At 49.8% G+C, this 23,686-nt stretch overlaps 1 protein-coding gene across 4 annotated transcripts in view, besides 8 other annotated features; it reads right to left on the bottom strand.

Annotated features, from left to right (window-relative positions):
* PREX1 (phosphatidylinositol-3,4,5-trisphosphate dependent Rac exchange factor 1) overlaps window positions 1-23,686 on the bottom strand; it is a 263,934-nt gene that overhangs the window by 114,464 nt on the left and 125,784 nt on the right. For all 4 annotated transcript variants that reach the window (XM_047440333.1, NM_020820.4, XM_047440332.1 and 1 more), the window contains 2 exons: window positions 9,094-9,165; window positions 6,310-6,432 (listed from right to left, as the gene is read on the bottom strand). Coding sequence is in view for 1 of the 4 variants with exons in the window: in NM_020820.4 (NP_065871.3) it covers window positions 6,310-6,432; window positions 9,094-9,165 (195 nt within the window). In the remaining 3 variants the exon portion in view is untranslated. The remainder of the gene's footprint in view (window positions 1-6,309; window positions 6,433-9,093; window positions 9,166-23,686) is intronic.
* Window positions 1,877-1,986: an enhancer, noted in NCBI's record as "active region_18036". NCBI's record gives its function as "activates an Ori minimal core promoter by ATAC-STARR-seq in GM12878 lymphoblastoid cells {active_cell/tissue: GM12878}" and the evidence as "EXISTENCE:reporter gene assay evidence [ECO:0000049][PMID:35858748]".
* Window positions 8,823-9,555: an enhancer, noted in NCBI's record as "H3K27ac-H3K4me1 hESC enhancer chr20:47364075-47364807 (GRCh37/hg19 assembly coordinates)". NCBI's record gives its function as "activates a minimal SCP1, AML or CMV promoter by ChIP-STARR-seq in primed H9 embryonic stem cells {active_cell/tissue: H9 hESC(primed)}" and the evidence as "EXISTENCE:reporter gene assay evidence [ECO:0000049][PMID:30033119]".
* Window positions 10,711-11,306: an enhancer, noted in NCBI's record as "H3K27ac-H3K4me1 hESC enhancer chr20:47365963-47366558 (GRCh37/hg19 assembly coordinates)". NCBI's record gives its function as "activates a minimal SCP1, AML or CMV promoter by ChIP-STARR-seq in primed H9 embryonic stem cells {active_cell/tissue: H9 hESC(primed)}" and the evidence as "EXISTENCE:reporter gene assay evidence [ECO:0000049][PMID:30033119]".
* Window positions 12,909-13,038: an enhancer, noted in NCBI's record as "active region_18037". NCBI's record gives its function as "activates an Ori minimal core promoter by ATAC-STARR-seq in GM12878 lymphoblastoid cells {active_cell/tissue: GM12878}" and the evidence as "EXISTENCE:reporter gene assay evidence [ECO:0000049][PMID:35858748]".
* Window positions 19,311-20,305: an enhancer, noted in NCBI's record as "H3K27ac-H3K4me1 hESC enhancer chr20:47374563-47375557 (GRCh37/hg19 assembly coordinates)". NCBI's record gives its function as "activates a minimal SCP1, AML or CMV promoter by ChIP-STARR-seq in primed H9 embryonic stem cells {active_cell/tissue: H9 hESC(primed)}" and the evidence as "EXISTENCE:reporter gene assay evidence [ECO:0000049][PMID:30033119]".
* Window positions 19,819-19,898: an enhancer, noted in NCBI's record as "active region_18038". NCBI's record gives its function as "activates an Ori minimal core promoter by ATAC-STARR-seq in GM12878 lymphoblastoid cells {active_cell/tissue: GM12878}" and the evidence as "EXISTENCE:reporter gene assay evidence [ECO:0000049][PMID:35858748]".
* Window positions 22,106-22,155: a silencer, noted in NCBI's record as "silent region_12986". NCBI's record gives its function as "represses an Ori minimal core promoter by ATAC-STARR-seq in GM12878 lymphoblastoid cells {active_cell/tissue: GM12878}" and the evidence as "EXISTENCE:reporter gene assay evidence [ECO:0000049][PMID:35858748]".
* Window positions 22,686-22,735: an enhancer, noted in NCBI's record as "active region_18039". NCBI's record gives its function as "activates an Ori minimal core promoter by ATAC-STARR-seq in GM12878 lymphoblastoid cells {active_cell/tissue: GM12878}" and the evidence as "EXISTENCE:reporter gene assay evidence [ECO:0000049][PMID:35858748]".

Below are 23,686 nucleotides of genomic sequence, written 5' to 3' on the forward strand. Positions count from 1 at the left end.
CCAGGGGAGGGGAGCTCACCCCCAGGAAAGGCTCAAGGATTGTGAGAGGTGGCAGCTGCTGTCCACAATACCCAGGTGACAGTGGCTCCACAGAGACCATCAGCTCCAAACCACTCATTTCACAGCCAGCAAGACTAAGACCCAGAAGAGGGAAGGAGCTGGCCCATGCAGACATATTCTCCAGTGGGGAGGAGAGAAGTGAGAATCAGGTCTCAGTTTCTCAACAGTCTCCCCAAATTATTTACCCATCCATACAGCTGTGGGGAGAGGGGGGTTAAAACAGAAATCAGACCACACTACTCCCGTGCTTAAAACCTGCAATGGCTTTCACTGACTCAGAATAAGATCTACAGTCCTCACCTCGGCACGCAAAGCCCTACAGGATCTGCCCTGCCCCCACTATGACACCCTCAAACTCTCTCTATCACTCACTCTGCTCTGGCCACGCCAGTCTCCCTTCTTCTCTCAAATGAGCTAAGCTTGCTCCCAGCTCAGGGCTTCTGCCCTTTCTCACCTTGGTCCAGACCACCCTCCCCAAGATCATCCCATTCCAACCCCTCAGAAAGGCCATCCCACCCTTGGGTTGCCAGATATAAAATAAACCCCAGGATGCCCAGGTGAATGCTCATTTCAGACACATATTTTTTTTAGTATAAGTATGTCTCAAATATTCCATAAGACATGTTTCCACTAAAAAATTATTTGATGTTTACCTGAAATTCCAATTTCCCTGGGTGTCCTTTGTTTTCATTTGCTAAATCTAGCAGCCCTGGCCCTGACCTCCCGATTGAAAGCAACCTCAGGCAGAGTCACTCTTTACCACATCTGCATTTTATGTTCTTCACAGTCTGCACTGGCATCTGAAATGACCTCATTTGTTAAATTACCCTCTGTTTCTCCCACCTACGAGCCGCGTGGCAGCACGGAGCAAGTCTGTCTTACTTAGTACAGCATCCCCAGGGTCTAGTGCAGAGCCTGGCACACAGGAGATGCTTACTATGTATTTCAGGAGACCTCATCACATAAGAGTAAAAAACACAGACTCTACAGCCTGACTGTGTCAGCTCAAATCCTGGCTCTGATGCTTCCTAGCTCTGTAAGCTTGCCCTATAACTTAATCTCTCTGGGCCTTGGTTTCCTCATCTGTAAAATGGGTACAATAATAGTAACCACCTTTAAAGAGTGTTGTGAAGTTTTAATGAATGCATATCTGTAAGGCACAGAGAACAGAACCCAGCACAAAGAAAATGTCCACTCGGTGCTAGTTTATGATAAACTCAGTAGTTAGTGGTTGGGTTTTGGGGAAAGGGGGTGAGGGACTCTTCCCCCATCTGATCAGTTAGGTGACACTAGCGGGCTGGACTGTGGGCCAGGGCCCCTTCCTCTCCTGGAGAGCCTGTCTGCAAGAGCTCTGTTCCCGATTAGCATCTCACCAGCCCAGATGCTGCCATGGCCATGGGAAAATGTTTCCAAGCAGGGAGTAAATGGAGTAAACAAGCCTGGGAAGGAGAGTGGACCCAGCACCTCTTTCCTTTGGGGCTGCAGTGGATGCCATGGTGCACTCCTCAAATGCCTGTCACAGAGACAGAGACACCCCTTACCCCAGGTGCTGGGAGTGCTGGCTGACAATGACCCTCAGCTAAGGCCCTCTCCTAGAGCTGCCTTCAGCCTAAGAGGGCCACCTGTCTGAGGCGGTACACCCACTCCTGAGGACAGCCCACTGGGCAACAAGGGTGCAAAGGCCTTGCCCACTTGCTGCAATTGTGCATAATCTGAAGAGCTATCCTAGTTCCAGAGTTCCTTCCAGATGGGACTATCAGTGGCTGGGGTGGAGCCTCTGCAACCTCTCCTTTAGCTGCTTCCAAGGGCCCACCTGTGTGCAAATCGCCAGCTTCCAGAAACCCAACCTACAGAGGTGTGGCCTTTAAAACTCCTGAGACAGACTGACTCAACCTATCCTCCGTGAGCAGGCAGGAAGAGGCGTGATAATTTTAATTTTTAATTAAAAAGATGATTTTAAATTAAAAAACACTGTATCACACACTGAGAACGCTGGCTCCTTTTTCAATAGGTCCAGTTAGCTCAAGGAGGGTCTTAGCTGGTGTGATGTAAGCAGCCTCAGGCTGAAAGGCTCAAGTAGTTAAGAGTTTCTAGATAGAATGCGGTAATACCGTTTGGTTTCTACTGCATTTATTTTGACAATTACCTTCTATTTATAGCACTCATTTTCTATTTTCAATGATGATGCAAATTTCTCTTTTTAAATAAGTTCACTGAAGTTTTGTTAAGTGAATCAATTTTTTTTTTTTTTGAGACGGAGTCTCACACTGTTGCAGGGGCTGGTGTGCAGTGGCACAATCTCGACTCACTGCAACCTCTGCCTCCCGGGTTCAAACGATAAGTGAATCAATTTTTTAAAGCATTAAACAAATAATAATACAAAGAATACTCAGATATAGCAAAAATTACAAACTTAGCGTGTGAGCTGAACTGAAGAACACTGGCTTAGCCCTTAGGATGGCCTAAAGCCCACTTCTGCGGCTGGCACAGTCGTGACCTTGAGCTTAACCTTTCTCTCAGTTTGCTTGCATGTCCAGAGGGCAAGTGAGCTTGGGGCTCGATTTTTTTTTTATTTTATTTTTTGTTTTGTTTTGTTTGTTTTCAGACAATGTCTCACCCTGTCACCCAGGCTGGAGTGCAGCGGCATGATCTCAACTCACTGCAGCCTCAACCTCTTGGGCTCAAGCAATCCTCCCACCTCAGCCTCTCAAGTACCTAGAACTACAGGTGCACATTACCATGCCCGGCTAAGGGGCTGAACTATTTCTGATGCAGAGACAGAGCAGTGAACATGACAGAGTCCCTGTCCTCATGTTGTTTATATTCTAGGGAGAGACAGACAATAAGCAAAAAGGGGCAAAAGATCCGATGTGTCAAAGGGTGATGCGGACTGTTCTGTTGAGAATGACAGAGTAGGGGAGGGGCGCGGAAGGGCAGGAGTGCAGCAACTTAAACAGGAGGGCATGGAGGCCTTTGCGGAGAAGATGGCATTTCCAAAAAGCTTTCAAGGCAAGAAGGGAGAGAGCCGCAGGGATGTCTGAGGGAACTGGTCCAGCAGAGGAAGCGGCCTGGGGTGAGAATGGGCTTGCCATGTTCTGGAACAGCGAGGAGATCCGTGTGGCTAGAGCCAGGGGAGCAAGTTCCGAGGAATGAACAGGGCCTGGCGGGCTGTGGGGATTTTATTCCAATGAGGCAGGAACCTTTGGAGGGTGCTGGGAGAGGGGTTGAAGAGATCTGATTGATGTTTCCAGCAGGTCTCTCTGTTGGCTCAGGGGAGAACCAATCTCCAAAATACTTCATCTCTGTCAAAGCCTCCGACATTCATCCTTGTGCCCGGGCATCACAGCAGCTTTGTGAGGCTGGAAGGACGGGAGCCCTGCTGAGGTGCAGGGGGGCTCATGATAGATCGCCTGGAATGGGGCTCAGTGATCCCAGGTCTGGGCACCCTGCACAAAGTCACACTCCAGAGAAGCCTGGGAGGTGCCAGAAAGCGCTGGATCACGTGAACAGATGCGCACATTACCCAAGTGAGAAACAATTCCTGAGCACTTATTATGTGCCAGGTTCTACCAACGTCATTCATTCTCTCAACCACCCTAGAAGGTGAGTTTTGTGATACCCACTTTACAGATGAGAAAACTGAGGCACAGAGAGGTAAGGTCATTCTCCCAGGATCCCAGAGCAAGGAAGTAGCAGAGCTAGGATGCAAAGTCGAGCAGCTGGGCTCTAAAATGCTTGATCTCCCAGGCCCAGGGAGGATGCCAGGAAGGCCCCAGCACAGAACAACTTCCCACAAAGGCCTAAACATCCACCCTCCACACGTCATGACTCTGATGGTAAGTGCAGCCTTCACCAGGTGCCTAGTTTGATGAGGCTACATGAGGAGGGTCCCAGGTAGCAGAAGAGAGGACACGGAAAAGAGGTTGCTTCATGCACACTGAACTCCCCGTCCCCAGCCCCCCAGCCCTCCGCTGCATCTCTGAGCAAGTCAGGAATCCTGCAGAAAGAGAGAGGTGAGAATAGCCCCGCTGTGTCCTCAGGGTCCAGGGCTCCTCACTGACAAGCGAGTTAAACCCACTTCCCCACAGCCTCTGGGGCTCAGACAGAGAAGCCAAAGGAATGAGGGGGGCCAGGGCTTTTGGCAAACTGGACAGTGCACCTTGAGGACCCTTTCTCCCACTTTTGCTAAGTATAGGCAATCCTAAGCAAGCTCGGATCATGACATCACAGCCAACCCCAAGCCCACCCCCTCCAGGAAGCAGGCCGGAGTAACACTCACAGCTGACACGCGGCATTAGCTTGGTGCTGAGCCAGGTCATTCATCCTCATGACAGCCCCCTGCAGCAGGAATTGTCGTTACCCCCACTTTACAGAGTTGGAGACTGAGGCCCTGAGAGGTGAAAGGACTTGCCCAAGGTCACTGGGCTGGCGAGCAGTAGAACAGGGATTTGAACGTTGGCTGTTGGCTCCAGAGAAAAAGCACTTCCTGTCTCCTCTGAACCCAAAGGAAAGACTGTCCCTCCCATCCTTTTCATTTTCCTATTCAAACACCTTTACTGCACACTGTGGCCACTTGCCCCTTCTCACCATCTCCACTGCTACCATGCTGGTCCGAGGCACCGTCATCTCACTTGGTGGGGTAACCTCTTAGATGTCTCCCGGCTTCCAGTTCTCCCTCCACAGCTACTCCCCCTCACAGCAGCCAAAGGGCCTGTGGACCACTTCCCTCCTCTGCTCAATGCCCTCCGCTAGCACCCAGCCCACCTGCGCCCCATTGTGCTCTTATTTGTCCAATTCCAAAGATGGAGGAGCGTCCGCTATGTGAATAGGAAGATAACGTCGACATTTATTGAGCACTTACTGTGCCAGGAGCTGCACTGAGCAGGCTCCTTGTATTATCTTGCTTAATCCTCACAATGTCCTGGATTTATCCCGTTTATGGGTAAAAGGACAATGAGGCACAGACAAGATCAGTCAACTTGCTGAGAGGACCACAGTTCATGAGTGGCTCAGCAGCCTGGCCAGAAGCTCTCCTTGCCCTCACTTTCACGTAGAGAGTGGCTGGCCCTTGGCTGAATGACTGCATCTTGGGGTAGTCTGCACGCCTGATCGCACATGAGACTTGCCCCCCATTGCCCTCTGAGGGCAAAGTCACACAGCTCCATCATCTTAGGCTCTAGCCACTCAGATGTGATCCCTTGGAGAAGTGAGTTAGTGATGATGATGATGATGATGATGATGATGATGATGATGATGATGAGTTAACAGTGGCCGAGTGCTGATACACCAAAGTTTCTCCACCTTGGCACCACTGACATTTGAGGTCAGATGATTCTCTGTTGTCGGGGCTGTCATGTGCATTATAGGATGTTTGGTGGCATCCCTGGCCTCTACTTACTAGAAACCAGTAGCACTCTAGAGCTAGGACAACCAAAAATGTGTCTGGACATTGCCCATTGTCCCCTGGGGGCCAGAATCACCCCAGCTGAGAAGCTCTGCTCTAGACTCTCTACCCGATTGCTTTACCTCTGAGTCTGGCCATCAACCTTAGGAGGTATACGGAATTGTCCCTACTTTGCAATTACAGGAGGAAATAGAGGCTCAGAGAGGCAAAGGAGTTTGGCTCACATCTCGTGCCCGTGAGGCTAGCTTGGGTTCTTCTGTCTGTGAGGGGGGTCCCAGGTAGTACAGAAAAAGAGGGTATGGAAAAGCAGTTGCCTTCCTTCTTCCAGCCTACCACCCACAATTCCAAATGCGTTAGTAATCTTGCAGGAAGAGAGAGGCTATTGCAACAAGCGTCAGCCTCTCTGACCAACAGCCCAACGGGGCACCCCAGGATCAGACACCCTTACTGTCCAGTGGGTGCCTGAGCCGGGACTCAAACCCAGGTCTGTCTGATGCCAAGTCCATCTCTTCTTGGCCACTAGCTACCTCTGATGGTCACTGTGGCAGAGGGGCCCCGCCAGGCCAGGAGGTCGCAGGACTCCAGGACACATGCATTCAGTGAGGGCCCACCCTCTATGTGGAGCTGAGGGAAAGGAGAGTCACTAAAAATGCCCACAGCCTGCTGGGCCTGACCTACTTCCCATAGTTCCAGGGATGCAGACTGGGCCCACCTGCCCACCTTGCTACCCCATCTCCCAGACAGGCCTACAGAGGAAGCTGGTGAAGGCGGATGGGGCAGGGACCCAGGGAGAAGCCCACTTTTCAAAAACTAGAGTCCACCAGGGGCAGTGGCATGGTACTCACGAATTTTAAGAAAACATTCCCAAGTTCATGCTGAGACTGCGGCTCCGGGTGTAAACAATACTCCAAGGCGGCCAAGAAATCCTTATGAACTTCCAGGATGTCTTCGATGTTCGAGAACAGGACCTGTGAGGAAAAGAGAGGCCAGAGGACAGCGTTAAGGCTCAGAGGGAGAGCAAAGCCAAGCACTGAAAAAATACAAACCTCGGTGCGGGTGACATTGTAGTCAAAGAAGAACTCTCAAACACCGGAACTGGTTTACCACTAATAGAAATCTTTGTAATAACAGAAATATTACCAATATTTATTTACTATAATCGGAATTAGTGACTAATCGTGTGTTAAGAACTTTATACGCATTCATAGAATCTAATCCCCACTGTAAATCTGTGAGATAGAAACTATTGTTATGCCCAATTTACAGATGAAGAACCAAGGCTCAGATAAAATAATATTCCCAAGGTCAAAGTCTTGCAAGCAGCTCCACATTTAGTATGCAGACATTCATCACAGTCAGACACAACTGCTGTGTCCAGCTACAGGACGATGTTGAAATTACAAGTATATTTCCATGCACTCATTAAAATGACGTGGTAGAAGAAAACACAATAAGGAAGGAGGTTAGAAATACGCTGTCTAAACTCTCACAAACAATATATGAGATACCCTGTTTCCCCACATCAATCTAAAAGTGTAAAACACTAATACAATTTGACCCAGCAATCCTACATTTTAGAATTTAACCTTCTGATCAGTTGTTCCCAACAAGGGGCAATTTTACCCACCACCCCGCCACACACACAGGATATGCGGCAATTGTCAAGGGACATTTTTGGTTGTCACAAATTGGGAGGAAAAGGGGTGTTTCGTAGACAGAGGCCAGGGATGCTGTTAACCCTTCCTGCAATGTACAGGACAGACCCCGCAATGAGCAATTATTATTATTACTTTGCCTCTCTGAGTCTTTTATGATTGTATTTTTTAAATTATTATTATTATTTTCTTTTTTAGAGACGGAATCTCGCTCTGTCGCCCAGGCTGGAGTGTGAAGTACAGTGGCACAAACTTGGCTCAGTGCAACCTCCGTCTCCAGGGTTCAAGCAATTCTCCTGCCTCAGCCTCCCGAGTAGCTGGGAATACAGATGCATGCCGCCATGCCTGGCTAACTTTTTTTGTATTTTAGTAGAGACAGGGTTTCACCGTGTTGCCCAGGCTGGTTTCGAACTCCTGAGCTCAGGCAATCTGCCTGCCTCAGCCTCCCAAAGTGCTAGGATTACAGGCGTGAGCCACCTCGCCTGGCCCTCATGATTGTATGTTTTTTAAGAATAGTTGTTAACAGCCAAAAACTGGAAATAACTAAAATATCCATCCACAGGAGAATGGGTAAGTAAACTGTGTTGCATTCCTACAATGGAACACCACACAGCAATGAAAAAGAGTGAACCACAGCTACACACAACATCATGGGCAAATCCCAGAGGCAGGCAGGGACACGAAAGAGCTCACTTTAATGTAAATTTCAAGAACAGGCAAAACCAATCCATGGTACTAGGAACCAGGGATTACCTTTAGGGAGGGAGGACTGACTGAGGGGGGCCCAGAGTGGGCAGTTGGGGCTGGGAAATGCTCTCTGCCTTCATTTGGTTTCATGGTACACTGGTGCATTCGTACGTAGACACGCACTGCATTCAGCACTAAGGTTTGCACCCTTTACTGTATGAGACTTCTACCTCATTAAAAAAAAAGGTAATTTTTTATAAACTGTAATAAGTCGCAGCTTAAAATTATAATAAATAATTTGTAAACTATAACAAACAGTGTAATAAATAAGTGGAATAAACAGGAGGTGCTCAGCCATATTTGCTGAATGAATGAGTGAATAAATGAATGCAGGCATAGAGTTTAGATCCCAGTGCATGAACACACACACACACACACACACACACACACACACACACACACACACACACACACACACACACACACACACCCCACCCCCAGGAGGAGCCATGCAGAGACCTTGAGCAAGTCCTTGACATCTCTAAGACTCAGCTTTCTTATGCAAATAATTCGGTGTAGAGCTGTCAACATGCAAGGCCACCGTCCAGATTAATCAGGGCGTTTGGGGGGAATGTCTTCTATGACCGAGTCCTTTGTGTGCTGTAAATACTGGGCACCTTGGACACCAGGACCCTCAGAGCCCCGAGGCCTGAAAGGCAGCTCAGAGAGTGAGGTCACACAGAAAGCCAGGCCTGGAGAGCCAGGCTGGGGCTGAGCCATGCACACAGAAGGCCTATTGATCTCCTCCTCAAACTCCCCAGAGCCATGGCCAAGGCCAAACTGGACCCAATTACTCATCAGCCCTGCCTGGACACTGGATGCCCAGGGCGGGAGCGGGGGCCGGGACTGCCAGGAGAGGGACTGGAGGTGCCCGGCTCCCGGGGGCACTTGGGAGAGGATTTTCCACTGGCTCCAAGCCAGAGGGCCTGACACGAGGAGCCCGGAAGACTGGGGGGTCACAATGAGCACAGAGGGAAAGTCTCGGGTTGGAAAGTGGGGCCCGGGGCTAAAAATTCCTGCTGACATCCACCAAGCACAGCTTGCTCACAGGACAAGAGGCCTCCAGGGGCTGAAGGGAGCAAGCTGGGGCAGGGCAAAGCTGGCGGCCAGCAGCCAGCGGGTGATGCGCCTCCCCCTGCATGCACACCCTCTGAGCATCGCACGGGAAGAGCAAGGCACAAAGCAACACAGATGCTCTAGAACAGGGGCCAGCCCCAGCGTCCACACCTTGACATTCTCCTCCGTGAGGCCCTTCTCCACTGAGTCGGCCACGTTCTGCCGGATGCGATGCAGGAATGCCTGGAGGAGAGAAGCAGAGAGAGGTGAGTGTCCGCGTCTCCAGCTCTCCCATGGACGGCCCTACAGAAGGCTCTCAAGTTCAAATGCCAACTAGGATCTGGGAGGTACCACGAGTCCAGGGACACAGGCAGAGGACGAGGAAAAACGTGCTCTGCTTACACCTTAAACACACTGGAGCAGCCCTCACTCCCACACGGTCACCAGGGGTGTGCTGTGCACCTACGACGCCAGGCCCTGCACTGGGCCCTGAAGATACAGCAGAGAAAATCTCAAAGCCCCTGCCTTCGAGGAACCTTTGGCCCAAAAAGATACACACCTGCTTCCTCACCCAGGGGCGCCTCTCAGACTCTAATTCATTTCCCCTTTCAATTTTTTTTTTACTTTGCTTTACAATTTAACCTCTGAGTAATAACACAGTCACATGGCTCAAAAGTCAAAAATAAAAATGGCAAAAACAGAGAAAGTCTCTCTCCTTACCCCAGCCCCAAACCATCTAGTCCCTCCCCAACCCCTACAGGAACCCCAGCTACTAGTTTCTTGGGTATTCTTCCAAAAAATCTATGCAAAAACAAACACACACACATACACATCTATTCCTTTTTTTTTTTAACCTCTTTACACACCAAAAAATAGCAACGTATACTGGATGACCCGCACCTGGATTTTCTACTTAATATAGCTCAGAGATCCTTCCAGATCATCTCACAAGAAGCTTCCTTGCAGATGCCAGGAATGTACTGTTTGAATGGACCATGGTCCTTCTACCACCCTTTCAGGGGCTTGGAACAGACAAATCACGTCTCTCCTCTGTGAGACGCAGTAGATGAGTGTGACGACACCAGGGCAGGAGTGACAGGGGCTGCGGGAGCCGAGGGTGCACCATTCATGTGGGGTCACGTGGGGAGGCCGCAGGCCCAGGACCACCAGAGGTTCGGATTTGGGTGTTGTTGTGGTTTTTAATGAAGCCAGAAATTAGAATTTTTTTTCAAAAGAAAAGTCTCCCAGTTTTGAAGTGTTGGTGAAAAAGCCCTCTGTTATTGCAAGGAACTGGATTTTAGGGGTTGTGAGTAAAAGTGGGGGGACCAGGGCAGTAGGGTGCAATGGTGCCAACAAGAGATGACGGTGGCCTGGCACCAGGTGGTGTGGGTAGAAAAGTGGCAGAAAGAAGAGCTGCCGAGGGGTCACACGTATGGGCTGAGAGAGTCACAGGGATAAATGTTGGGGAAAGGAGAGACAGCAGAGTCAGCACCTAAGGGAGACCGAGGCCCAGCACCCACAGCCACCTCCGCCTGGTTTGCCGGAACTCCAGGATGTGGGATCTGGCTGTAGGCTAACCTGGAAGCAGCCACATGGAGACCCCTGGGAAAAGGAATTCATGGTGCTGTCATAGCCACAGGGCCACGGGGAGCTGTGGGGCCTATCAGTCACCTGCCCTGCCAAGATGGATGACAGATTGGGGGTCCACACGGGGGCTGCTCCAGGTGAGCACATGGTCTCCCTGTCACAGAGCCCAGGTGCAGGCTGATTAAGACATGGGCTGCAGGGGCCTGTCTCATCCCACCACGCTTGTCTAGGGAGATCTCTGAGTGCAGGAGAGATGGCGGGGACAGCCCAAGATAGTGCTGGGGTCAGGGGAAGCGGAGCAGGTAAGCAGAGAGGAGGCTAGCCCTCTGCACAAGGCTGTCAGATCCTTTCCATCACCCAGAGACACGACACGTCCATGCCTGCCCCCGGGAGCCCGGCCACCTGCCCAGACTCAAGCCTCTTGGGAGGGGGCGCAATGACAGTCCACATGGCGAGTCACAGAGGAAGGCAAGACACAGGAAGCAGCTTCGTCTCTGTCCACACAGAGTGCAGAGCCATCTCAGCCAGTCTTGGGGCTTTAACCCATTTATGCCTAGTGTTCCATTACTGGAATGCTAAGCTTGTGGGAGTTACTTATATCCTACTCTTCAAGGTCATTGCCAAGGTCTGATTTTTTATTAAAAAAAAAAATTGCAACCTCCAGCATAAATGGGTTAAATCCCCTTTTTTTATGACCCCCATGTTTATATCCCCAGCCTGGACTTCTCCCCTGAAACCCCCAGACTCTTATCTCCAGCTGCAGATTCAGTGTCTCCACCTGGATGTCCAAACTCAGCCTGTCCAACACTTAATTAATGACCTTTCCCAAACTCACACCGAACTCTTCCCCACTTAATGGCACCTCTGTCTTTCAAGGGCTCTAGCCAAAACCCACTAGCCGTCCTCAGCCCCTCTCCTCTGACACTCCATTTCCAATACATCAGCAAATGTTACCAGCTTTACCTGAATACTACAACCACTGGTCCCCATCTCCACAGCCACCACCCCCCCAGTCCAAGCCATCATCATCTCCTGCCTGGACTAACACAGCCATTTCCCTCCTGGTCCCCTTCACCCTCCCAAAAGTCTGTTCTCTACACACACAGCCAGGGAGATCCCTTTAAATATGTACAGGAGATCAGTCAATCCATGCCTTTAAAATCTCCATGGCTTCCCACTGCACTTAAAATCCAAATCTTTCCATGGTCCCCATGATCTTGTCCTTGTTAATCTCTCTGATCTCATCTTCCAGTACTTCATCCTCCCACACACCTCAATATAAATAATCTTCAGCCACACTCTCATTCTAGATTCTATCCACCTGCCAAATACACTCCTGCCTCAGGACCTTTGCATATGCTGTTCCTGCTTGCAAGATGTTCTCCCCCATTCTGCCCTGAGCAGCCTCCTCATCCATCCGGCCTTAGTTCAAATGTCACCTCCGCCAAGAGGCCCTCCTCTTCTTAATGCAAACTCCTATCTTCCCATCTTGCGTTAGGAGCTCATTTGACAGATGAGGAAACTGAGGTTAAGCAATCTATACAAGCTCCTAAGGGAAAGGCCAGGATAAGCAGGGATCATGGCTGGGATGAAACCATAACCCCCAATCCAACATCAGAGGCCAGGTTTGGAAACTGGTGAGTCTGAGTTTCAACCATGGGTCCTTCCTGCTGTGTGACCTCAGGAAAGTGCACTAGCCTCTCTAAGTCTTCATTTACTCTTCCCAGTGGAATCATAGGAATACAGCACCTTTTAGAATGTCATGGGATAAAGTGAATGGAAGCTCCCTGAAGGCAGGGACCCTGCCTGTCTTGTTCACAGCTACGTCTTCAGGGCCAAATGTAGTGCTCAGCAAATAGCAGGTGCTTGAAAATCAAAGGAAGGTTTGGAATGCGCCTGGCACAGTGCCTGACCCATGCCGGAGACCTCGACTCAGGCTCCTTGGAAGTCTGTGGATCCTGTTTTTGAAACGACAATGAGCGGAGGGGACAGGGACTGGGGTTCCTAGAGGATGTTTTAACAGGGCCTGGGATACTGACAGGAAGTCAAGCTCCAGCCTCCCCAGACTAGAGGGAGACAAAGGCAGCCTCACCCAGCACAGCCAGGGAGGGCAGGAAGCTGGGAGTGCCGCACTCCGCTGGCCTAGATTGGGGCTTCCTGTCCTGGTTTCTTCACACGAGCTCTGCCACCGCTATTGTGCTGCAACAATGGGAGGCTCGGGCCACCCACTGAGGAACTGCAAACAAGCCGGTGTGAAGGCCACAATGGGCAGCTCGTGACCCGGAAAGAATGGGCAGCAGAGGCTCTGGGACCAGCCCTCCTGCTGCCCAAGGCACGACTGGCTTTTCCAGGCAGCACGGCGTCCCCTGCACTGGCAGGATGGTGAAAGGGACCCTCCAGGGCGACTCTTCCTTTGTCCAAGGCTTGACAGCTTTGAAACACTCAGGTCAAAAGCAGCTCTCATCTCCGAAGCCTCCCTTAGACACAATACTGTTCTCAGGATTTCCAGGGCTGCCTGAGAAACTCCTCCAGCCTCGGAAGCTTTGCCCATGCCTGGACCACTTGTCCTCACATCTGCCCAAGTCCTCCTCTTCATTTTATGAATGTGATGATGAAATACGTCAGGGATACAGAAAAGAATAGAGAGAAACAACAAACACCCACAAACTCATCACTACCCAGCTTTGGCAAATCTTAATACTACACCGAATTTGCTTGAAACCATTTGCAAAAAGAAATTCAACAAGTCTAGGGGAGGCACAGACTGGAAACGGGATGAGGAGGCTCTTGGGGGTGCTGGAAATGTTCTATATCTTGATCTGAGCAGTGGAGACACAGGTCACTGCATATGCAAAGCCCCAGCAGTATGCACTCGAGATTAGTTCAGTTTACCCACAGTACCATGCAAATATCAAACCTCCATGTATTAAGTAGAAAAGGCAGAAAGGAATCATTACAGAGAGAGGTGAGCCACTGGGCACCTTCTCTCCCTGCAAGGTACTTGGAGCTGGTGCTCCTCATTCCCACGCATGCCTCTGCCCACTTACCAAGCTGTGTGCATCTATAAGCAAGAGAGAATATTGTTTTGCATGTTCACAACATTTTTATAAGTAGCATGCTTTCAGCAACTTGATTTTCTCACTCAACATCATGTCTTCCACATTTACCCATGTTGATATGTACACTGGGCAACATCTGCTATCCAGACCCCACCCTTACCCCACACCACATCGAGCTGCCAGCACCTGCATCTCTTGGCCTGAAGACCCCGCTCTCATGTGCAGGGCAGGCCAGAGGTGCGGAAGAAGTAAGACTGCCTGGGAGCAGCCCTCAGTGATGGCCAGCAGGACCTGGCATGAAAAGACAGATGAGGAAACTGAGGCACTCGATGGACACTATCTCCCCGAGTGCCTTGATGGATTCAGCTCCGGTGGCCCCCATGGTAACCCGCTTGATGACACACCTTTCTTGGCTGCCTTCTCCTCCCTGCCTCACTCCCCCACTCTCCTATTGATGCTTCCTGGGGTGACCTCCCAAGTATGCTACTTGCCCTTGAATCAGTCTCGGGTCATGTTCTTTGGGGAATCCACAATAAGACAGACCTCAAGTTGTTCATTTCATTGCTTACTAGTCAAAATCACAGCATGAAGTAACCACTGCCATGCTGCAGACACTTGTTTCAAACATCCTTACTGTAAACAATGGCACTCAGGTGTAAGTTCTTTCAGCTGTATACTCTCGTCGACTGGGGTATGGGTATACAAGTTCCTCTAGGTGATGCACATGTTTCCTCGAGCCCAGGCGTTCAAGTTCCTCTAAATGTATATCCAGGTCTTCTGGGGCATAAGAGAAGGACCAGAGAGACTGTTTACTCAGCTCCCAGCCTGAGTGTTTCCAGGGTCCCCAGAGCTCTAGACTGAGCAGGAAGCCACATCATAATTGATTAGTGATGTCTGCCATGGATGTGGCAGGGAGAGGGTTAGAAGGATGATGAGTTTGCCATCTCCAACAAGCTCCCACTTAATGGAGATACCAAGAGTATGAGACACTGGTCTGAGGTCAAACAGCAAACTGGTGACAAAACACAGATTAGAACCAGGTCTCCCGATGCCAGGCCAGGTCTCACCTGTCGCCCTAACCTGAGCCCAGTGGTTCTCAACTTGGGGGTGATTTTACCCCCTAGAAGACATGTGCCAATGTCTAGAGACATTTTGGGTTGTCACAACTGAGGACAGGGGTGCTCCTGGCATCTAGTGTGTAGAGGCCAGGGATGCTGCGAAACACCCTACAGTGCACAGGACAACCCCACAAAGACACAGCTGACCGCAAACAACAGTGACAAGGTCAAGAAATCCTTGCCTCAGAAAAGGCTCTAATTAAAACCTAGAAAAAAATCCAACCTCTTCCACCGCCCAAATACTGTCTAATGCGGGCTCTTCTCACCCCACTGGCTCAGCTGCAGGTACACTGGTCTCCTTTTTGTTTCTTGAACACACCAGGCCCCCAGCATCCAGGCCTTCGCACGTGCTGTTCTTTGCCTACAGAGCTTTTCCCAAGACATTCAATTGGCAGGAGAGGTCCCTCCTCTCACAGGCCACCCCTGGACCCATATAAGAGAGGATCTCACCCACTACATAGCCACCTGAACCCTGTTACCCTTCACAGACGTCTCCGCTATTGGCTGTGCTCTTATCAATTAAGTATGGATAGGTTTGATCATTCAGTATCATCTCCCTCACTAAAGTATCAGCTCCCTCAGGGCAGAAGTCAATTTCCTTGGCCGTCTACGCAGCGCCTGGGACAGAGGCTGGCACACAGCAGGTGCTCAAGAGAGACTGGTATGTGGAGAAAGGATGGGAGAGACAGGGAGAAACTGAGAACAGGCTCCAGAAAGTAAGCTGATATCGAGCTGGGAGAGGCAACTAGAATAAGAACACCTTTTTAACTCACTAACTACACCTTTAGGCCTCATTATGTGCAGGTGCTGCTCTAGGTGTTTTAATCCTCAAACTCGAGGAGGCAGGCATTGTTATTACTATGTCCATTCTACAGAAGAGCCTAAGGCCCAGCGCAGTAAAGACCTTATTTAAAGCCACACGGCTGGCAAGTGAAGGAGCTGGGCCTTAAACCCAGACAGTCTCCATCACGCGCCATCAGTGAGTGACTGTGGACAATGAACCGCATCAGCCTTTAAAACAGGTAGCAGCTGCCCTTAGGGGTGCCCCTGGGGAGCTGCCATCTGCCTGGAACCCATGGCTGCTGTTGCCTGGGGAGGATAAATCTCTCCCTGGAGATAAAAAGGACAGAAAGAGGCCTTGAAGTCACTCCCTGAGACTGATGCCGGCAACCTGATCTGCTTGGGGAGGGGGCCCGACTGCCCCCAAGGACACCTCTGCCGTGGCTGGGGTGACCTCACCAGACATATGGTGAAACTTGAGAGGGCCAGGGTATGGGCTGGGAGCAAAGGGAAGCGATGAGTGGGGGTGGGTGGGGGGAGCTCCAGAACACAGCCAAGACAAAAGGGGGTGCCCTGAGGACCCCATCCCCAACATGATCTGGGTGGCGGGGAGTCGGAAGCACAGTGTCATGGAACAGCAAGGGCCTTGGAATCTGAGCGATGATAATAAAATCGCTATAACAGCAGAAGGGGGCTTACACAGCCTGCTGCAAGCCGCCCCACACAGCCCAGAGTCTGGGGAGCTCCCCAATTGCCCAATGACCCCTTCAAATGCCCAAATCCTATGCTCCATCCATCCAAGTTCTGGGTATTTATCCTACAGGGGAAAATAAATCTCATATGTGGCATGAAGCTTTACCTTCAATATCTGATTTATAATTCCATCACTGGGGGTTTAGTTAAATAAATTACCATCCAGCTCAACAAGGAATGATCATGCTAAAAATAGTTTGCAGAAGTCTATTTAATAACACGGAAAAGGACTGTTGATGTATCCTTAACTAGGAAAAAAAATCAAGTTACAAACAAGTACATAAAATATAATCTCACTGTTGGTTAAATAAATTCTCTCTCCCTAGGCATAGAAAAATGAAGTATGGAAGGAAATACCCATACTACAAGAAACTATGTAGGAATGTGGCCAAAATTACTAGCTGTCCCCCAATATCATTCTCTCCTTTTCCTTTAGAAACAGAACTCCAGATTTAAAAATAAGGACTGTATTTCCCAGCATCCCTTGCAGCTAGGTGTGGGCATGCAACTAAGTTCAGGTCAGTACAGCATACATGGCATATTATGTACAACATCTTGGAAGTATCCTTGTGGGTTGGGGGAGGAATGGGTAGGGATTCTCTTCTGCTATTCCCTTTTCCTACTGATTGGATTGCAAATGCGATGCCTGGAAGTGAAGCAGACATCTTATACCATGAGGTAGAAGCCACGTGTTGGGGAAAACAGAGCAGCATTCAGTAGGCACTTATGTTCCTAGTGATGGTACAGCCAACATATCCGCCCTGGGTCACCTATAATTACAGAATAAGGAAATAAACTTTCATCACATTTAAGACACTGTTATTTGGGTTTTATCACAAGCCACTGAACCTAATCCTAACTGACAGAGGGGCATTCTAAAGAATTTCCATTTTCTTCTTTCTTCATTTATTTCCCTTTCCAGATTTCTACAATGAACATGCTACTTTTTAAGCAAAAGTCATTTTTAACATAAATGCATGTTTTTATTTTTCTGGATGGGAGGGGTACTAAACACACAGGCTCTCTCTCGCCCACCCCATCACCTGCCCCAATCATCAGGACCCCTGGCTTCTGTCTTCTCCTCCTTGGATATGTGTATCCCTGTGCAGGGAAGGCAGTGCCCGCCAGTGGGGAACAGAGCAGCGGCAAGGCAAATATGAGATGGAAAGATTTACCTTCTGCAGAAGAGCCTCTGAGCTGCCGACCAGCCCTCCTTCTCTGAGTCAACTCTGGAAACCTGGGGACCCCCACAAGCTGGCCTGGAGCTTCCACAGCCTGGGCCAGAACACAAGAATGTCCACCACCCAGAGCCCACACCACTGCCCAGGCTGATTAAAACCCTCTCCACTCTGTTCCCACCTAGCATTCCTTCATCACGTCCATGCCAGGGGCCAGAAACAGAGAGCCACTGGCTCAGAACCAACTGAGGCTTTCCCAAAAGACCCAAATTTTGGATTTGAAACATCCTCCCCAAGGATTCCACCGCTGACTCATTCAGTCACAGACATACTCTGAGAGGACTGGGAAGAGATAGCTTTTTTTTTTTTACAAAGTCAGACTTACTACTCCTTTACTCCCATGGCACATTTACAAAGTCCATATATGTATCTATAACTCATTTCATTATATAGTCCACAGCACAAACATATTGCTTTGAATTGTATCTTTAACAGGCTAATTTCTTCCTGAAAGCATACAAAGAACCTACAACTGAGGCCTCCTGGGAATATACCAAGGCACCATCCACCCCGGGGCCTTTGTACTTGCTGTTCCCTTTGCCTGGAAGACTCTTTCTCCAGATATCTGCAGGGCCCCACCCTCAATTCATTCCTGTATTAGTCTGTTCTCACACTGCTAATAAAGATATACCAGAGACTGGGTAATTTATAAAGAGGTTTAATTGACTCACAGTTCCACATGGCTGAGGAGGCCTCACAATCAAGGCAGAAGGCAAATGAGAAGTAAAGTTATGTCTTACATGGCGGCAGGCAAGAGAGCTTGTGTAGGGGAACTCCCCTTTATAAAACCATCAGATCTCGTGAGACTTACTCACTATCACGAGAACGGCATGGGAAAGACCCGCCCCCATGATTCAATTACCTCCCACCAGGTCCCTCCCATGACACATGGGAATTATGGGAGCTACAATTCAAGGTGAGATTTGGGTGGGGACACAGCCAAACCATATCAATTCCCCTCTAGAATCAAATGCCAGTTCTTCTGAGGCCTTCCCCGACTGCTCCATTTGAAACAGACACCCATTCCCCTGCACACTGTATCTCATCCTCCTCCATCCCCCACAGCACTGCCCTCCACCTGCACTGAGCTGTTTCTTCACTTACAGTTCCTGTGTCCCCTACAAAGTCAGTCCCAGGAGGGTGGCAGCTTGTTTGGGCAGTGTCCACCCACTGGACCTAGAACCGTGCTGGACTGGACACAGAGCAGATGCCCAGTAACAAGGGGTTCAGCAGGTGACTGATGGTCAGCATGTTCGTCCTGCATAACAATCCCACAAGGTGGGCTACTGCATCCCCTTTTTAGGAAAGAGGAAAACAGGGCATGAATCACACATTAGGCTCTGGAGTCGGCCAAGCCTCGCACCTCAGTTGCCTCATCTATAAAATCTGTGTAATGGAGCCTCACCTTGCAAGTCGCTGACATGAGGATTAAATCTGACACTGCTTGTAAATAACTTGTTGCCTCTGCCCACGGTGGGAGCCCCCGGCCCCCAGGATCCAGCCAGGATCACAGGAGGTGCCCAATAAGTCCTCAGTAAATGTCCAGTGAAGGGGTGGGCACTTTCAATTCCGTGTAGCCCCTGGACCAGCTCAGACCAGGCCCCTTCCCTGGGCACATTTCCTTGGCACCATTCCTTGGACCTATAGAAATGTTGGAGGCCTTTAAAAATACGTGCATTGGCTCCAAATACAAAAGGAAAACTGCATTGTCAAAAAGAATAAATCTTGATTTAAATGTCTACAAAATTACCAATCAACTCTGCCTGTGGCTATGTGCACAGAGAATGCAGGGAGTGTGTGCTGTGGGTGCATCTTAGCGGGTGTACCATGACAGGACCCTTGGGGTGGTTCCCCAGATGCAGCAGACCCTGAGGCAAGAAGTGGAGTACAAGTAGTTTCTTTGGGAGGTGGGAGGTGGGAGATGGTCCCTGGAAACACCAACAGGGAGGTGGAACCAAGAAGGGAAGGCAGCCCACGAAGGGTATGAGACCAAGCAAGTTACCACCATGAGGCCCCAGACAGACCGTGTGGAACGCACACCTCACAGCCACCCTCAGGGAGTGAGGAGGCCAGGGAGTCTGTACATCAGCCCTGTCTGTCACTAGTTTAAGGGCAGTGGGGGTGATCCTGGCACTCCCCATCTTCCCTGAAAGTGACAGAGCAGCTCAGAGCAGACAAAGCCATCAGGCAGAGGAGCGCAGGTGCTGGCAGTGGAGCGTCCCTCTGGTGTGCCCTGGAGTGGTTGAGGTGTCGCAATGCAGCCTCAAAAAGAAAGAGGGTGTAGGGCCCCCCCGAGCTTGGGGGGGTGAAAGACAGGGCTTTGCAGCACCGCAGCCACACAGGCCAGGCACTTCAGCAGATGTTCTCCTAATACACACCAGGACGGCCTCGCTGCCTGTTAAAACACCAAAATACTTCTGAGCTGATGGGGAAAATCTCTACATGTGCAGGGCTGAAGGTCAGAGGAGGTGGCTGCGGAACCACAGGCAGTCCCCGGTCAGACGTGGAGGCAGGTTTCACGTGGAGCAGACACAGGGAGCAAACAGCATTGCGTGTATCTGAGGATACAGCATCACGGGCAGGGTCAACAGCTGGGGCAAAGGCCCCAAGGCACATTCAGTCTTTCCAAGACAATCCTATCGAAAACGCCTATCCCTGCTCTGTTTTCCTCACAGCACCTGTCACCATGGACATTATGTGTGTTCATTATCAGTCTATTATCCATCTAGCCCACCTGAATCCAGGCTGCATCTGCGGGGAACCCATACACATTCCCCTGCGGAGGCCAAAGATATGGCCAGCATTCCACCTCCTCCTCCCATGCCCCAACTCTCAGAAGCCCTCCCTACCCTTAGAAACTCTCTCTACTCCTTGCTAGAAGGGCACTGTATCTCCTAAGCAAGCAGTATGTAAGAGTGGATGAGGCTCAAAGGCTAGAACTAGCCACCTGGTTCAAATCCTGCCCCTGCCACCTACTGCTCTGTGACCTAGGCAACTGACTCCATCTCTCTGGGCCTCATCTATAACATGGATGGGGACCATAAAACTACTGACTTCATGGGCTATTGTGAGGCTGATATGAAATACTGCAGGCAGGCCAGGCGCGGTAGCTCACGCCTATAATACCAGCACTTTGGGAGGCTGAGATGGGTGGATCACCTGAGGTCAGGAGTTCGCGACCAGCCTGACCAACATAGTGAAACCCTGTCTCTACAAAAAATACAAAAATTAGCCAGCCATGGTGGCTCACATCTGTAATCCCAGCTACTTGCGAGGCTAAGACAGGAGAATCATTTGAACCTGGGAAGCAGAGGTTACAATGAACTGAAATCGCACCACTGCACTCCAGCCTGGGTAACAGAGCAAGATTCCATCTCAAAAAAAAAAAAAAAAAAAGAAAAGAAAGAAAAAAAGAAATACTACAGGCAAAGCATTTAAATGGGCTCAAATCCCAGCTCTGCTGCTTACAAGCTCTAAGACCTGAAGTAAATTATTTATTCTCTCTGCCTCCATTTCCTCCTCTATAACGGGGGATAAAATGAGTACACAGGATTACAATGAGAATTACAGAAGCTAACACACATAACAAGCACTTGAATGGTCCCTGGTGCATAGCAGGTGCTCAAAAAACATTAGCTATTATTGGCCAGGCTCACACCTGTGAGCTCACACCTGTAATCCTAACACTGTGGGAGGCCGAGGCAGGCTGATTGCTTGAACCCAGGAGTTCGAGCAATCAATCAATACGGCAAAACCTCATCTCTACCAAAAATACAAACAAACAAACAAAATAGCCAGGTGTGGTGGCGCACACCTGTAGTCCCAGCTACTCGAGAGGCTGAGGTGAGAGCATCACTTCAGCCTAGGAGGCAGAGGTTGCAGTGAGCCAAGATCGCACCACTGCACTTCAGCCTGGATGACAAAGCAAGACCCTGCCTCAAAAAAAAAAAAGCATTGGCTATTATGATCTCCCCATCTTGAGTTTCTAGAGTGTCTGCAGGGAGTCCAAGCCCTGGTGCAGGTAGACAGAACCCACTGTGCTTCCTAAGGAAACCTGGATTTGGATCAACCACATCTGTAGGGCTTCTACATGCACCAAGCACACTCACATTTATCCCACACTATTTTTACTTATTTTTATTAGTTTTTTCCATCCTGCAAATAGCTCTATTATTATAGACTGCCTGCTTCCGAGTCTCCTGAGGTGAGATGAGAAGGGGAAGGCTTTATAAACTGCAGAGCCCCCCACATCCTCATCACCACCAGCGCACCCCTCTGCCCTGCCCCATCCTCCTTGCTGACTGCCAACCACGTGACTTCAGCAAGTCACCACACTTCTGAGTCAATTTCCTGGACCAAACAAAAAGGGGGGGAGGAGTAGTTGTTGAGGTTTAAGTGAAATGATGCAGGTGAACACTTTGTAACTACAAACACTTCCTGGAAAAAGTGGCAGAAAGGCTGAGCCAGGAGAGGGAGGCTGGACTAGGAAAGGGGCAGGAAGTTGCTTGTGATGATATTCTAGGGGGACAAGTCCTCTCCGAGTACCAACCATCCCAGCAAGTGTTAACCAGGGCCTGCCGTGCACCAGGCACCGAGCTGGGTGCTGGAGACACAGATATAAGCCATGACCCTGCCACGGAAGGACTTATGCATTCTTACATTCGCCTGTGTAGTCAGCAAATACTTACTGCACACCTATTATGTGCCAGGCACTGCGCTAAGAGCCAATGACACATCAGTGAATGAACAAATCAGACTAACTCCCCACCTTCACAAAGTAGTGGCAGAGACAGACTATACACTGATTTTAAAATAAAATGGCAGGTAGGAATGATTGCTACAAAGAAAACTAAAGCAGGGTAAGAAAACAGAGAAGGATAAGGTGGGAATGCCATTTCAAGGAGCTGTTCAGAGAAAGCCGTTCTGAGAAGATGGCATTTGAGCAGACACAGGGAGCAAACAGCATTGCGTGTATCGGAGGACACAGCATCATGGGCAGGGTCAACAGCCGGGGCAAAGGCCCCGAGGCACATTCAGTCTTTCCAGGACAATCCTATCGAAAACGTCTATCCCTGCTCTGTTTTCCTCACAGCACCTGTCACCATGGACATTATGTGTGTTTATATCAGTCTATTATCCATCTAGCCCACTTGAGTCTCACCTCCAGGAAGGCAAGGATGTTTGTCTGTCTAGGTCACTGTGGTGTCCCAGAGCCTAGGATTGGACCCAGCACACAGCAGACCCTCGAAAAGGATGTGTTTAATTAATTAGTCAATCAATCATCTAGAGTAGACTACTCCCACCCCCACCCAGATTCTAGGCCCTGGTAAAAGGTGCCCAGTTCTCACCCCACCCCGCCCCGTTCCCCACCACATCGGGAGAGGAAGTTGATGCAAAAAACAAGTTGCAACAACCTGTCATGAAGAGGTCTGATGCAACAGTGGGGGAAGGCAGTGGGGGACACTGAGAGGAACCCAATGCTTTTCTTCACGCAGCCCCCATCAAGGGGCTGGGGCCTGGCCTACAAACTTTCCTGAGTTCACCAACAACCCATCCTTCCTTCAACAGATATTTATGCAGAGCCTCCTCTACATGATGGGGCTACCTTATGGGTCTCAAACTGGTAACTCAGAGGCATCATTCCTTTGGCCTGCAGAGGGGTTTGAGAAACTTGGGCCTAAGTTTGAATATCAGGTTTCCCATTAAAATCCAAATTCCAAGCTTCTTTTGAAAAAACTGACACATGGGTCTCAAATGCCCACAAGGCTGCAGGTGCTGTAGAGCAGAGTGATAGCCATCACCTTCACCCAGGACAAGTGCTCCTCAATTTCCCACCACCCAACCCACTGCTGCGCCCTGTGAACACCTGAGTGTGAGACTTCTGTCCTAGACACAGGCAAGGCAAACCTGAACCTGCTACTTCGCCTTTACCCTCACCCAGGGCAGACATCACTAATGGAATGCAGATCTTTTTCCTGCTAAGTCTTCTCCAAGCCGTTCAGAATTTATCTCCCTTCACTGTTGTCAGAAATGGTCTAAAATCCTTCCCATTCACAACCCAGCTTCTCCCTACTCCTTTGGGCTCCTCAGTTGTTGATTTTTTTCCTGAAAAATGGGCTCATCAGAGTGGGATTCTAGCAGAGATTCTCAACTTTGGTACCTTGACAGTTCAGTGGATAGTTCTTTGCTGTGAGGGATGTCCTGAGTATTATAAGACACTCAGCAGCTT

Source organism: Homo sapiens, chromosome 20, assembly GCF_000001405.40.
Source record: "Homo sapiens chromosome 20, GRCh38.p14 Primary Assembly".
Taxonomy (NCBI): domain Eukaryota; kingdom Metazoa; phylum Chordata; class Mammalia; order Primates; family Hominidae; genus Homo; species Homo sapiens.